General features: G+C 45.2%; 1 long non-coding RNA gene and 2 other non-coding genes across 4 annotated transcripts, besides 3 other annotated features; 1 reads left to right on the plus strand and 2 right to left on the minus strand.

Moving 5' to 3' along the window:
• Positions 2,375 to 3,306: an enhancer, noted in NCBI's record as "H3K27ac-H3K4me1 hESC enhancer chr1:149222669-149223600 (GRCh37/hg19 assembly coordinates)". NCBI's record gives its function as "activates a minimal SCP1, AML or CMV promoter by ChIP-STARR-seq in naive H9 embryonic stem cells {active_cell/tissue: H9 hESC(naive)}" and the evidence as "EXISTENCE:reporter gene assay evidence [ECO:0000049][PMID:30033119]".
• Positions 3,307 to 4,243: an enhancer, noted in NCBI's record as "OCT4-NANOG-H3K27ac-H3K4me1 hESC enhancer chr1:149223601-149224533 (GRCh37/hg19 assembly coordinates)". NCBI's record gives its function as "activates a minimal SCP1, AML or CMV promoter by ChIP-STARR-seq in naive and primed H9 embryonic stem cells {active_cell/tissue: H9 hESC(naive and primed)}" and the evidence as "EXISTENCE:reporter gene assay evidence [ECO:0000049][PMID:30033119]".
• Positions 3,764 to 3,927, minus strand: RNVU1-18 (RNA, variant U1 small nuclear 18). The gene has a single exon (NR_004400.1). It is a non-coding gene; the product is annotated as an RNA, variant U1 small nuclear 18 (small nuclear RNA).
• Positions 10,277 to 10,350, minus strand: TRN-GTT6-1 (tRNA-Asn (anticodon GTT) 6-1). Its single transcript has one exon. It is a non-coding gene; the product is annotated as a tRNA-Asn (tRNA).
• Positions 10,351 to 10,403: 53 nt separating this feature from the next.
• On the plus strand, positions 10,404 to 11,487 carry LOC107985108 (uncharacterized). Of its 2 annotated transcripts, none has more exons than NR_197590.1 (2): positions 10,404 to 10,480; positions 11,247 to 11,487. It is a non-coding gene; the product is annotated as an uncharacterized LOC107985108 (long non-coding RNA). The 2 variants fall into 2 exon arrangements; NR_197591.1 differs by having other exon boundaries at positions 11,250 to 11,487.
• Positions 13,058 to 13,557: an enhancer, noted in NCBI's record as "H3K4me1 hESC enhancer chr1:149233351-149233850 (GRCh37/hg19 assembly coordinates)". NCBI's record gives its function as "activates a minimal SCP1, AML or CMV promoter by ChIP-STARR-seq in primed H9 embryonic stem cells {active_cell/tissue: H9 hESC(primed)}" and the evidence as "EXISTENCE:reporter gene assay evidence [ECO:0000049][PMID:30033119]".

Genomic DNA, 14,408 nt, shown 5'->3' on the forward strand with positions numbered 1-14,408 from the left:
GAGGCAGGGAAATAGCTTCAACCTGGGAGGCGGAGCTTGCAGTGAGCTAAGATCGCACTACTGCACTCTAGCCTGGGCTACAGAGCAAGACTCTGCCTCAAAAATAAATAAATAAATAATCATAAGTAGTAAAAAAGTAAAATGAAATAAAAAATAAGGCACAGTGTCTTGCTCTGTTATCCAGGCTAGAGTGCAGCAGGACAATCATAGCAGACCAACTTGGAACTTCTGGGCTCAGGCAATCCTCCTGGTTCAGCTTGCCTTGCATTTTTTTAGAGATGGGGTCTTGCCCTGTTGCCCAGGCTGGTCTCCAACTGCTGGCCTAAAGCAATCCTTCTGCCTCAGCCTGTTGAGTTGCTGGGAGTACAGGTGCAAGACATGCAGCCTAGCATTGTAGTAAAACAATTTTCAACAAATTCTTAATTTTCTTTCTTTTTCTTTTCTTTTTTTTTTTTTTTTTTTTTTTTTTTTTGAGTTGGGCGTCTTACTCTTTCACCCAGGCTGCAGGGCAGTGGTGCAATAATAGTTCACTGCAGCCTGCCTCAGTCTCCCTAGTAGCTGAGATTACAGTCATGCATTATCATGCCCAGCCAACTTTAAAAAAATTAGCTAATACTTAAAAATTTGTAGAGACAGGGGTTTCACTATGTTGCCCAGGCTGGTCTTCAACTCCTAACCTCAATTGATTCTCCCTCCTCAGCCTCCTAAAGTGCTGGGATTGCAGCCATGAGCCACCATACCTGGCTTAATTTTCTTATTTTAATCTTATGTAAGTGATTATTATTGTTCCTAAGATAATTGGGGCAGTGACTCCTTTAAAATTTTAGAGACCTAATTTATCTATTCACTTCACTGAAAGAGTATGCCAATTTGTTTCATGAGAAAATACCCTACATTCATAAAGCAGGAAAATTCCTTCCACCAAACTAGGGGGCATTCTAAAGAAACAAATTTTGCTAAGTAACATCACTTAAGGTGAAAACAGAGACAATGGTATCTATTAACAATGTTTATCAGTGAAGGAAATAAACTGAAAATATTAACATCATTAGATCCTTGGAGGGCCTTCATTGCTGAAAAATCTGAGTAATATTGTGATACCCTTTTGAGTCCGGCAGGACATTCTCTTTCCAGGGCATATAACAATGGGTGAATAATTTCTTTTCATTCATTTTCATTAAGGGCTGAACTTCCTTAATGTTCTGGAGATTATTAAATTTGATTTGTATAGTTGTGAAAAGTGCTCATATTGCTGATTCCATTGCTTATATGTGATCATATAAATCTTTTCTCTCCTTTCTGTAGTGTGGTTTAAACTTAATCCTTAAAGGACGTGTATTTGAATTTTTCAGCTGGTTAGAAACCTGAATATACCAATCAAAGAAAACTGCTCCTTACATGCTACAGATTTAGTTTTCTTCTTGTACTAAGATGTCTTTTAGATATAGTAAATTTGTTAAAGCCAAGAGCTCCTATGGAATGAAGTTGAATGGGAGGGGGGATGTGGAGTAGTAAGATCACCCTTGTAACAGAGATGCCACTCTTGCAGATTTTGACAACTATTGGGCCCATAAAACTTTTACCAAATATTGGAAAGACAAGATATGAACAGCTTATTATTGCTGCAGTCTCAAATATCAAGAAATACCATTATTCTCAGGACAATAAATAGGCAATAAAAAAGACTCACAGACCAGATTAGCTGTCCAAACAGGGAGTAGATCCTTATCAACACAACCCAACAGAGATTGTCCCCAGAAATTCACTTCATAACATCAAAACCAAAAACTCACACTGATGGCAAAAAATAATGATGCAATAATGAGAGAGAGACAGAGAGAGAGAGAGAGAGAGACCTGTCCTATAGCCATACTTAGTGGGTAAAAGCCAAAGAGCTCAATTTCTGCTCATGATACTTAATAGAACAGAGGGAACATGAGCCAATAGCTCAGTGGGTTCAGATACGCACCAAGTGCCTGTTGGATACAGGATTCTACTGTCTCCAATAATATGTCTCAGATGGACTAGTTTTTTTGTTTTTTGTCTGTTTTGTTTTTGTTTTTTATTTTTTGTTTTTGAGAGAGAGTCTCCCTCTGTCGCCCAGGCTGGGGTGCAACGGCACGATCTCGGCTCACGGCAACCTCCGCCTCCCGGGTTCAAGCGATTCTCCTGCCTCAGCCTCCCAAGTAGTTGGGACTACAGACGCACACCACCACGTCTGGCTATTTTTTTTGTTTTGTTTTGTTTTGTTTTGTATTTTTAACAGAGACAGAGTTTCGCCATGTTGGTCAGGCTGGTCTCGAACTCCTGACCTCAGTTGATCAGAAGTAGGTGAGGTCAGAAAACATACCCTGGGAGAGGCTGGCACAATGCCCAGATCCGCCATCGCTAGGCCTGGGGTTTTCTTCTGTAGTATTCATGTAGTGCAGGGACAAAACCAATTAGATACTTCTGGGAGTTAAAAAGAGATTAATTTGCCGGGCGCGGTGTCTCACGCCTGTAACCCCAGCACTTTGGGAGGGTTCACGAGGTCAGGAGATCGAGACCATCCTGGCTAACGCGGTGAAACCCCGTCTCTACTAAAAATACAAAAAATTAGCCGGGCGTGGTGGCCGGCGCCTGTAGTCCCAGCTACTGGTAGGAGGCTGAGGCAGGAGAATGGCGTGAACCCGGGAGACTGAGCTTGCAGAGAGTCGAGATCGTGCCACTGCACTCCAGCCTGAGCGACAGAGCGAGACTCCGTCAAAAAAAAAAAAAAAAAAAAAAAAGATGAATTTACAGTGTCATTTGAGAAGGGGTATTAAGGAATTTGCCAGGGTACTGACGCGTGTCAGGTGCAAACTGCAGGTTGAGAGAGAGCTAAGTATTTTCTGTCCATGAAGGTGATAAGCGAGGGCCTGAAGAAAGAGGAAGGGGGGAGGACACTGGCGCCAGAAATAGGAAAGGGCTGCTTGGGGGTGGGAAGGATGGGTCGGGGTGCTATCTAGAAAGCTGCCTGGCAATGGCTGTGGGATGCGGAAGCGAGACATCAAACAAGAAGCTGTCGCTTAAATAAAGTCTGAAGAAAGACTAGATATGTAAACGGCAGGAGATAGTAGGGAAACTGGACCCGTCTCCTCATAAAACTTCCCGCCTTATATTTCAGGGAGGATCGCAGCGCATTTCGGCCAAGACAGGTGAGACTGCGGTTTTGACCTGCGGGCCTCGATGAATTGCGTTAGGACACCTGGGCTCCGGGAGAGCCGTTCCACTCCGCAAAGTAAGCGTGTTATGTCTACAACCCAACGGGGACGCGCTAAGAGCCCTAAAGGCCCTGCTTTCATCCCAAAGAACAGCCCCCGCCTGCGTAGTTTGTAGCCGGCTCTATGAGGTGAGAACACATTCCCCGCTAGCACAGAAATCCTACAGACTCCTGAGGGGGCTGCAGCTAGAAGCAGAGGCTGTGTGAAATGTGACTGGGGGCTAGGGAAAAACACGTAGATTTTCACAGACCCTGAGAACCCAAGAGACTGCAGACCATGGGCAGACAAATCTCTGCAAAAAGCAGCCCCGCCTAGATAAAGGAAGAGCTGTGCGGCCTTCGCGCTAGCTAGCTTGTGTAAAGGTCGACGATTCTTATTTCTCCCGGGGCGGGGAGAAAGCGACATATTACTACTATTTCTCAGCCTTCGACTGTGAGAGTAACGATTAAGACTAAAACACAAGCCAGTAAAAAAAACAAGTAACCCTTGCTGTGTAGACTATTCTTTAAACTACAAAAAATCAGGGGAAAGCGCGAACGCAGTCCCCCACTACCACAAATTATGCAGTCGAGTTTCCCACATTTGGGGAAATCGCAGGGGTCAGCACATCCGGAGTGCAATGGATAAGCCTCGCCCTGGGAAAACCACCTTCGTGATCATGGTATCTCCCCTGCCAGGTAAGTATGAGATCTTGCACCTCCGCCCCGCCACAGCCTCACACGCTTCACCCTTTACACGCACGGTCACTTGCCCCGCGCAGCCCCCCCCCCCCCCCCCCCCACCCCCAGCCCTCCTAGCCCTGACACACAGCTGGGACTCTCAGGTCCGACCAGCGGTCCTGAACCCGCTCCCACGGCACGGGAAATCCTTCGTGGCGCAGCAGCAGGTGGGGAAGCAGCAGCCCCTGCGCTGCCTCATCTACATAGAAGTCGCCCTATCCGTGATGTCACCGACAGTGCCTTTCCCAGTCCCCGTCTGCCTTTCTGCCGCTCAGCCTACCAACCCGCTGCCGGAGCCGGCAGGGGGAAGTGACGTCTGTCTCTCCCTTTTTTCCCTCCCGCCCCGGCATCTGTTCTCGCCCGAAGAAGCTGGTCCTTAGCCTGCGCTGCGGAGCAACCTTTCAGTGGCCAGCTGGAGCCTGGGCACCGTTCTTCAAATAATGGCTTTTAATTCTCAGACGAGAACGTTTAGGATTACAAAAGAAACCGGTTCTCTTCACATCCTTATCCTTGTCATGTAGCATTCCGCTTGAAATTGGAAGCCGTTCAATGTCAGAGAGAAACCATATTTATGAAATGAAAGAGGCTTCTCAGATGACTGCAAACCAGCCTTCCTTACTGGTTTTATCACTGGTAATGTTATAAAGACAGTTGTCCAGTTTCATGAATCTTGTAGGTTTTTGTTTGTTTATTTGTTTGCTTTTGATGTTGTTGTTGTTGCTGTTGTTTTCCAACTTCAGTATTGTAGAAAAATATGCTGCCCCAGAAGAGATGATTGGACACTCTCCAGCGTGGTGTTGGACTTTGTCATCTCTTGCACAGCCATCTCCAGACCTTAGTGTTTACCTCACGTTAGTTTTTTATATTCTGCAAAGACAAAACCAAAATAATCCAAATTTGACACAAATACCTGGGATACATCTTATTTGAGATGTTTAACAAATGTCTGGATCATCTTTTCTTACATTGGATTATAACGCAGGAAACACTGTGAAGTAAGTAAAGTTGGAATTCCCAAGTCAAAGACCATTTGAATATTTACAAGTAGATTTGAGGCAGGAATAATACAGGGTGGCCGCAGGGTAACAAATTCTAGGCAGCAGATTTACATGACTTGAGGCTATGGGCTGATAAGACGCTGAAAAACCAGGGTGTGGACCAAGCTGGCTAAGACTGACTGGACCCAATGTGGTGCTGGATTTGATGTAGGTTTTACCGAGGCCCTCATTATATGCTCATTAACATACTAAATCACACACCCACCAGTGCCATGACAGTTCTGAGACCAATATGTGATGTAAAAATGGATGGCACCACAGTTCCGAGAAATCTCCACCTTTACCCAGGAATTTTCATGACTATTCCACTCCTTGGTTAGAGAAACCAATCAAGATGAAACCCCAGAACCCATTGTTCTCTGTCGGGTATGCCCGAACTCCCCTTTCTTGAGTGTGTACTTTTTGCTTTGCAATAAATCTCTTCTTTCACTGTTTGCTGACTCATCCTTGACTTTGTTCTTGAGATGGTGTCAAGAGCCTGGACACCACAGCTGGGGTCGAGATCCCACTAGTGTCCGGGGACTTTCCCCAGGCCACCAGTATCAGATTCTATTCCATTGCTCAAATCACAAAACATCGAGTGGAGAGTTCTCCTTGGAGACCATAAAGTAAAGATTCTGTGGCATGGTGGCCAGTTAGGCCACTGGAAGGCATGGCAAAATATTGAAAATGAGAGATTAGGTGACAGTGTAGTAATAACTGCTGAATACTAAATATTTGAGCCAGGCCCCATTCCCTGGATACTGACAGGGAGACACATTGTCCAGGTAGTAGTGGAGAAATACTTTCTGGGTATCTGACCAGCCTTTGTGGAAAGAACTGGCACCATCCTGCAGATGTAACCGCCTGATGGGTTCTTCCTGCCCACTGTACATACAAAATCAATTCATGGAGACCATGGCATTGAGGTAAAGAGTTTAATTGACACAGGCCAGCCACGACATGTGGGGGACAGAGTTATTACTCAAATCGATCTCACTGAAGACTTGGAGGTAAAGGGTTTTCAAAGACAGTTTGGTGGGGAGGGGGCTAGGGTTTGGGCGGTGCTGATTGTTGGGGATGAAATCACAGGGGTGTGGAAAATGCCCTCCTGCATTGAGTCAGCTTCTGGGTGGGAGCTAAGGGACTGGTTGATTTTTGGGCCAAATGGTGCCATCCAGTAGTCAGAAATGCAAAAGCCTGAAAAGACATCTCAAGAGGCCAATCTTAGGTTCTACAATAGTGATGTTCTTCACAGCAGTAATTGGGGAAGCTGCAAATCTTGTGACCTCTGGAATAATGGCTGGTAATTATTTAACGAGGCATACATCTTAGTAGAATTCAGGCCCCTTTCATCCTCCTAACTTGGTGGCCTTTCATTAGTTTTATGGGGTAATTTAGTTTTGGGGAAGGTTATCATTTTAACCAACATTTTTGGCTGTCCCCAACCTTTTTGGCACCTGGGACTGGTTTCACGGAAGACAATTTTTCCATGGAAGGGGGTGGTGGATGGTTTCTGGATGAAACTGTTCCACCTCAGGTCATCAGGCATTAGTTACAGTCTCATAAGGAGTGCGCAATCTGGATCCCTCACATGTGCAGTTCCCAATAGGGTCCGAGCTCCTATGAGAATCTAATGCCGATGCTGATCTGACAAGAGGCGGAGCTCAGGTGGTAATGCTCCAAAGCCTGCAGCTCACCTCCTGCTGTTCAGCTGGGTTCCTAACAGGCCATGGACCAGTACCTGTCTTGTGGCCCTGGGGGTTGGGGACCCCTGATTTAAACTATAAACTCAATTTTTCCCAAAGATAGCTTGGGAGAAATTGCACAGGAACGAGCAAAGACAGCTAGCCTGTGAGGCTAGAACCAAGATGGAGTCAGCCATGTCAGATTTCTCTGATTGTCATAATTTTGCAAAGGTAGTTTCTGAGGGACTACCCTGACACTTGTTAAAAGCATGAGGTGGATTTTATTGTATGTACTACAGTAGGCAAGAGAGACCAGCAGAGAACCGAGCTCAACCTCAAATACAGCAGGAAGAGTTGAAGATTATAGCCAATTGGCAAGATAAGAAAGTCAGTGGATGGAAAATTACTAAGAGGAACTTGATTAGCTATCAAAGGTGGTTGGGAGGACTCTTGCTAAACTAGACTCAACAGTATTCTTTTCTAAAACTGGACTTAGCAGGCCAAGAACTAATAGAGAAAAGGGCTCAGAGGAAACTACTAAGGTTTGGTCAAAGATGGAGTCCTTGTCAACTCTAAATTGAAGCTTCTGCAAATAAACGAAGACCAACCAAATGAAAAAAAGCAAAAGCTATTTATTCTGAGCTTGCTATGGCAGGGAGTCAGCCACTGTTACTTGTGTTTTGGCAGAGACTTGAAGGCAGTCAGAAGGGTGAGAAAGCTTTTTAAAAAGAAAGGCTTCAGGTATGCTTGGACTGGAGGCTGTCAGTATGGTGACGCTGTAGATAGATGAAGAAAATAAAAATATTTTACCCCAGAATATATTTCTTTGGTATATTTTAAGATGGCTGTCAGAGAGCCAGCAAACAGAAGTAACTCTGCAAAACTGTCTTTTGTAGGGGAAATTTACACCTGCAGAGAATCTGCATTAATCCAGCCTTCCCTTGTCAGGATTGAGAAATAAAAATAAGCCCTAGGCCCTACAACCAACTGAACAGACTCCCTCTTGGCTGACAGGACCACAGAGAAACCTTGAAAGCTGTTTCTGGCTGTGACAGGATAGGAGGTCGGACGTGCCCCCTTAAAACCCCTCCCTCACTAACTGCCATTATGAGGCAGGAGAATAGCAGAGGGAATTGGAAGTTGGATAAAAGGCAGAATGAGTAAAGGCAGAAACAGAAGCACGGTGATGGGGCGGGAGAGCAAGAAGCAAAATAAAAGGCAGAAGTTGAGCAACCTAAACAAAAAGTAAGATTAAAAAAAGCAAGGAAGACCGGGCACGGTGGCTCACGCCTGTAATCCCAGCATTTTGGGAGGCCAAGGCGGGCAGATCGCCTGAGGTCAGGAGTTTGAGATCAGCCTGGCCAACATGGCGAAACCCCATCTCTACTAAAAATACAAAACATTAGCTGGGCATGGTGGTGCACTCCTGTACTCCAGGCTACTTAGGAGGCTGAGACAGGAGCATTGCTTGAACCCAGGAGGCAGAGGTTGCAGTGAGCTGAGATTGCACCACTACACTCCAGACTGGGCAACAGAGAGAGACTCTGTCTCAAAAAAAAAAAATAGCAAGCAAGGACCCCATTGCTGGCAAGATCCAAACCAGTAAAGGGGCAGCTCCTCAGAGACAGACATGTGCATTCAAGAAAAAAAGCATCCTTAACATGACTCCATATGATAATCAGCTCATTAAAACTCATGCATATGGACTACATATCTTGCATGTACTTAAAATTATGGGGTGGAGACAATGTGCAAGCACACGAGGGCCAAAGTAACTAAGCAACCCACCCATCAATCTAAAGGCAAACACTGGCTAAAGATTAGGCATCCTTGGGAAGAGAAGAAAAAAAAACACACATAAAAAGACCCAAAGTACACCAAACTAATACTGATCTCATCTGCCACAGGTCAGCCCACTCTCCCCACTCCAAGAATGTTACTGTGCTTAATAAACTTTTGCTTTGCTTTGCTGCTTTGTGTGTGTCATGTACATTCTTCGTTTGGGACACCAAGAGCCTGGAACTGCATGGCACCATCTGGTAAGAATTAGGATTTTTTTTTCCTACGGGTTAACAAACCAACTCTTTGGAAAGACTTGCTTCACTACTGTTATCAATCAACAGCCTGATACTTTCCCTCCCTTTTGTGGTTTTGACAAAGCAAGCAAGCAGCATTCCCTCCTGATAAGAGACCACCGACCTAGGAATGATTCTGGCCAGACTACAGAGGATGTACAGTGAGAGTTTTCATGTCTTCTGCTTCAGCTTTTGATGTCAGAGGGCCACAAACTCCACTCTCAGATGATTGCTAATGCCACCATTTTATGAACATGGGCCCCATGGAGAGGCACAAAGCTCAACTGCACTTCTGCACATTTTTCCTCTTATAAATATTCATATTGGAATATTATTTGGTACTGCTTCCATGAAAGACACATTTGCAGAATGTACTCAAATTAGAAGCATTATATAAACACTATAATGTAGCAGTGGTGCATCCAGTTCTCTCTTTTTTTTTTTTTTTTTTTGAGACAGAGTTTTGCTCTTGTTGGCATGATTTCAGTTCACCGCAACCTCTGCCTCCGGGTTCAACTGATTCTCCTGCCTCAGCCTCCCGAGTAGCTGGGATTACAGGCATGTGCCACCACACCCGGCTAATTTTGTATTTTTAGTAAGGATGGGGCTTCTCCATGTTGGTCAGGCTGGCCTTGAACTCCTGACCTCAGGTGATCCGCCCACCTCGGCCTCCCAAAGTGCTGGAATTACAGGCATGAGCCACCATGCCCAGCCCCCAGTTGTCTATACTATACAAATATCTGCAGTGTAGACATTTCCACAATGACCAAAGATATGTGTACAAGAATGGTGACTGCAGCATTCTTTGTAATCCTAAAACCAAAACAACTTCATCCCAAAAACATTTTTTCTTTTTTTTTTTTTTTTTGAGATGGAGTCACACTCTGTTGCTCAGGCTGGAGTGTAGTGATCTCAGCTCACTGCAGCCTCCACCTTCCAAGTTCAAATGATTCTCCTGCCTCAGCCTCCCAAGTAGCTGGGATTACAGGTGCATGCCACCACGCCTGGCTAAAACATTTTGAAAAGGGTTAAATAAATCATGCACAAACTGAGGAAAAATACTGTTTTCAAAAATGGTGGAGAAGATCACTATGATGATGAATGATTCCACTGGTCACATTATTAATAGAACAATCAGTAAATCCAGGCACATCCTGGAGATAGTACTGAACTCCTATTACTAAAATATGAAAAAATGGAGGCACGTACATTACTCGTTTAAGCGCATAAGGGACTGAATTAGAATTTATCACACCAAAAGTGGGTTCCTAGGTATCTGTTTCAGGATCCTGAGTTACACAGGTGTAAACCCGCCATTTCAGGAGATACCCGGTTAAGAATCGGATGGGGGAGGGGGGCTGGCCCTTGACATGGATCAGTCATAAATTAGGGGTTTGGGGCTGGCCCTTAACATGGATCAGTCATAAATTAGTGGCTTGGTACTCCGGGAAGATAAAATCTTCCCCATTTGTCTAGTGATTGACAATGCGTGAATGCTTTAAAAGTTGCAATCAGCGTCCCTGGATGGGCTCGAACCACCAACCTTTCGGTTAACAGCCGAACGCGCTAACCCATTGCGCCACAGAGACAAGCACTACCAGTTCTAATAGGCAATATAGGAAGGGCACACTCACTAAACTTCCTCCGTCCCTTCTATTCTCAGCGCCCGCCTGGCAGGACGACTGAGCAAGGCTTTGGAAAACCAGAGAGATTAGAGCGGTGAGTTGCGCTGGTCACATTGGATACCTGCGCGTTAGGAGATTCTGGAGCCAGACGGAGAGCCGAATGGCCTTCGCCCGCCCTGCCCCTCTCTTGCTTCAGAAGCCCCCAGAAACTCCGCGGTCGGCGACCCAGCCCGAGCCGCCTGAGGTCCCAAGGGGAAGCTGAACGCCTGGTGGGCTCCCGGGATGGTTCTTCCCGTTCTTTGTGCCGCCTTCACCCAGTGAAGGAGCCTGTATCCACCCTGCTCAGTCGCTTTTGGGCTGCTGCGGAGCTTCCGCTGCCATCTTCGGATCCTGTGTTCCCCACCGGGGCTCCACCAGGGCAGGGATGGTGGTGAGGGTCGCTCCTGGGTCCCCTCGCGGGGAGCAGGGTCTGGCACTCACTAAGGCGCACGACTAGGACTTGTCGAATGAATCCATCGTCTCCTTTAGCTTTTAATCCTTTAAAGAGCACTGAGAGTGGAAATCAAGAGATTTTTTCCATGGGGAAGTTCTTTTTACAAAGCATTGATTTCTCGGCACCCCGCGGGGCGTGCAACTGGCAGGGCCTCTGGTGGGCTTTCTGCCGGGTGGAGCTGCGGGGGCTCAGCTGGGCGGGGGTCGGTTCCTGGGGCCGTAGGGTGGGAGCGGGGGAAGGGAAAAGCAAAAGCTGGGAAAGAAGCCAGGGAGACATGAACCAGACATCCAGACCTCCTGAAAGGCTCGTGCAGACGCACAGGCGGGATCTTCTGGAAGTGAGAATTGTTTTTGTTTATCTATTGTAGCAGAATGGGGAAATGGAGAGAGAACCTGAAAGAGCCCCAAACTCGAGGACCTATTGCTCCCCAAGAATAACATCTTCCAGAACTAGACAGAAACTAAGCGTCTGGAAACCCTGAAATCCTTGGAGGAGTAGCATCATCCTGACCCTCTGTGCTCCTTTTGGCAAAGGACTTGCTTCCATTGTTTGTTTGTTCAATTGTCTGTTTGTTAAATAAATAAAACTCTTTTCATATATCTTTAAAAGTACGTTGGTTCTATTATTTTATGATTACAAACAATGCTGCAGTCATCATTCTTCTACACTTGTCATTGGCCACTGGTATATTTCCATAGGGTGGAGGCCTGGAGAGCAGTTGTTCCAGCATAGTGCTTACATAGATTTTATTTCATTCCGTTTTCTTTCCTTTGTTGCTTTATTAGCTATAACCCTTTTCTTATTTCAGTGGCTGCTTTAGGGTTTCTGGGATATGTCTTTAATTTATCACAGTCTGCTTTCAGGTGTCATTATGTCTCCCTTTCTGGCCTTTATCCTAGTGTTATGTAATTTTACTTTATACATTATAATCCTTGTGATTCATTATTATTACTTTTATTTATTACACCAAATATTTTTTAAAAGATTTAAATTCTAAGAAAATGTGTAGTACATGCTTTCTAAATGCCATTTCCAGTATTCGTTTCTTTGTATAGGCCCACATTTTTATCTGGTATCCTTTTGCCTCTGCCTGGAGGACTTTTAATAAGATTTCTTGTAACGTGGGTTGGTGAATTGTTTTAGCTTTTGTATGTTTTTCGATGTCCTTATTTCACTCACAGTTTTGAAATTTTATTTTTGCATAGAATTCCAGGTTAACTTTTTTTCTCTGGGTACTTTAAAAATGTTACCATTTATGAAGCATTGCCATTATAATATCATCTTTCTTTCCTGTGTTTGTAAGAATGGCATAAAGCCGGTTTCTTGCGGTGGTTATATAATTTTCAGAATGTGTACTTAAATTTAAAATATTAAATTTTACTAAAAAACTAAAAATATTAATCATGAACATCCTAGATTCATCTTAAATTCCACCAACAGTGCACTTAAAATGTGCCCAACCTGAGGGTCAAACCTACCTGCTGACGTGTAATTTGTGTTTGTGAGACATTCTCAACAGCATTTGCTTTCCCTAGCTGAGTGATTTTCCTCACATCTGAATGTCTTCAGTACAAAAGGAAACCTTTGTCTTTGCAAAAATACTTTCAAATATTCTTACTTCAAGTAAGTGCATTAAAAACAAACTTCTCAGTTGCATCCCTGGAATCCGTGGAAAGCCCGGGAGAGACAGTCAAGTGGTTCAGGATCAAGAGCTAAACAAGGGAAGACAAAGCGTGGCTTCTTCACTAGGAGTCCAGCCAAAGTCAACTGATTTGGTCTCCAGTGGAGGTCGGAACTCGGTTCACCAGCGACGTGAGGACCCGGCCCAGAGGAGGCGGACTTTCTCTTCCTGGTGCCTTCAGATAGGAAATCTAGAATTTCTTTCTTTCCCTTTGATCTACTTCTAACTCTCCCGTTCTATTTCTTCAAGACCTTTTTCGGATCCCTACTGCGAAGGACCTAAGGGGCCGATGCCCTTCCCTAACGGTCCCTCCCTGGCTGAGTGTCTTCGGAGCCCAAGCTCACCTGTAAGGTTACTGCCCTCCGGAGACAGCGAGAGGACCAAGGAGGGCGGCGGGTGCGGTGGGAACCACAGAGTCACCGCGCACCTGCGCCTCGCGGGCTCCTAGCAAATTGAATAAATGATCCCTGAAGCTTCTCTGCAGGTCACAGGGAAGGGGAGGGTAGGGGTCGACCCGCGGAAGAAGCTTCAAGAAGCATCGGGAGGACCTGGCCCTGCCTCTGGGCCTTGAAAACAGGCCTGGCCAGGCTGATTTTGTCGCGTAGGCCCAAAGAAAAGTGTCAAGGGCGGCCCAAACCCTGACCTCGAGATTAAGGCTCTTAAATGTCTGACGGTTTTGAGACTCGTCTGTAGAATCGATCCCGCCTGTATCCGGAGACCGGAGACTCCTTTGCCAAAATTCAGAGACCAAGAAAGAGAAAGATTGGGCAGATCAAAGTCTGTAATTAACCCAAACAGGAAACGTAATTTTTCTGACAAATTGTATGTGTGCTCTGAGAAAAAGACTAGCCTCAAGGAGAATCTGTTTTTTTGGCTTGAGTGTAGGGAAGAATGGAATTGCCACCAACAATGTTGCGTTGAAACGGCAGGTGCATCAGGCTGTAGATGTGAAGGAATTAAAAATATTTCACCCCAAAATACATTTCTTTGACACATTTTGAGATGTCTGTTCAGAAAGCCAGCTGCAGAAGTAGCCCTGCAAAGTTGTATTTTGTTGGGGAGATTTGCATCTGTAGGGAATCTGCATTGATGCAGCCAAGTCTTTCTTTGCCCAGATCTAGGAAAGATTAACTGAGAGTCTGACAGCTGTAAAGGTCTCAAAGAAACTTTTAGGGTTTACTGTCTCTGAGAGCTGCTACCTGTAAGGTTTCATTTACATATTAAGACCACCTTTGCTAGCTAAGCCTCCTCTTCTCTCCCTCCTATAACCTGTCTTGCCCACAATAAATGGATATACATCTGACTCTGATGGTACCTGGTTTTGGCCATGCTTTGAGCCCTCATTCATTCTGTTACCTCGAGATGGTGTATAAGCTTCTGCATCCCATTGTGGGTAGGGTAGGGTAATCACTCTGTGGCCCTCCCCAAGTACATGTTAGTACATTTTATGCCTTTTCTCCAATTAATCTGCCTTTTGCGAGTTGATTTTTGAGTGAAACTTCAGAGGGTTAAGAGGGAGGGTTTCCATTGGCCCCTACAGTTTTGGAGCTGTAAGCAGGATAGTAAAGCTCTGCTCTTCTGGAAGCTGCAGTGAAGAACCCAGGATCTGATCAGCTGTCATAAGGGTAAGAATTTTTTACCAGCCAGGCTCCCAGCCTCCTTCTCTGTGTGGAATCTGATCAAGTGCACAGTAAAAATCACTGCTTCTTTTCCCTCTCCAAAATCTTGATTAATGGGAGAAAAGGATTGACTAGTCTTGGGTGTAGTGACTCTGGTGTGCTTTTTTGGTACTTTGTGGTACCAATTCATATTGTTTAATCCCTTTCTTCCCAGAAAATGTCTGTTCCT

The sequence above is a fragment of the Homo sapiens genome, chromosome 1, assembly GCF_000001405.40.
Source record: "Homo sapiens chromosome 1, GRCh38.p14 Primary Assembly".
Lineage (NCBI taxonomy): Eukaryota > Metazoa > Chordata > Mammalia > Primates > Hominidae > Homo > Homo sapiens.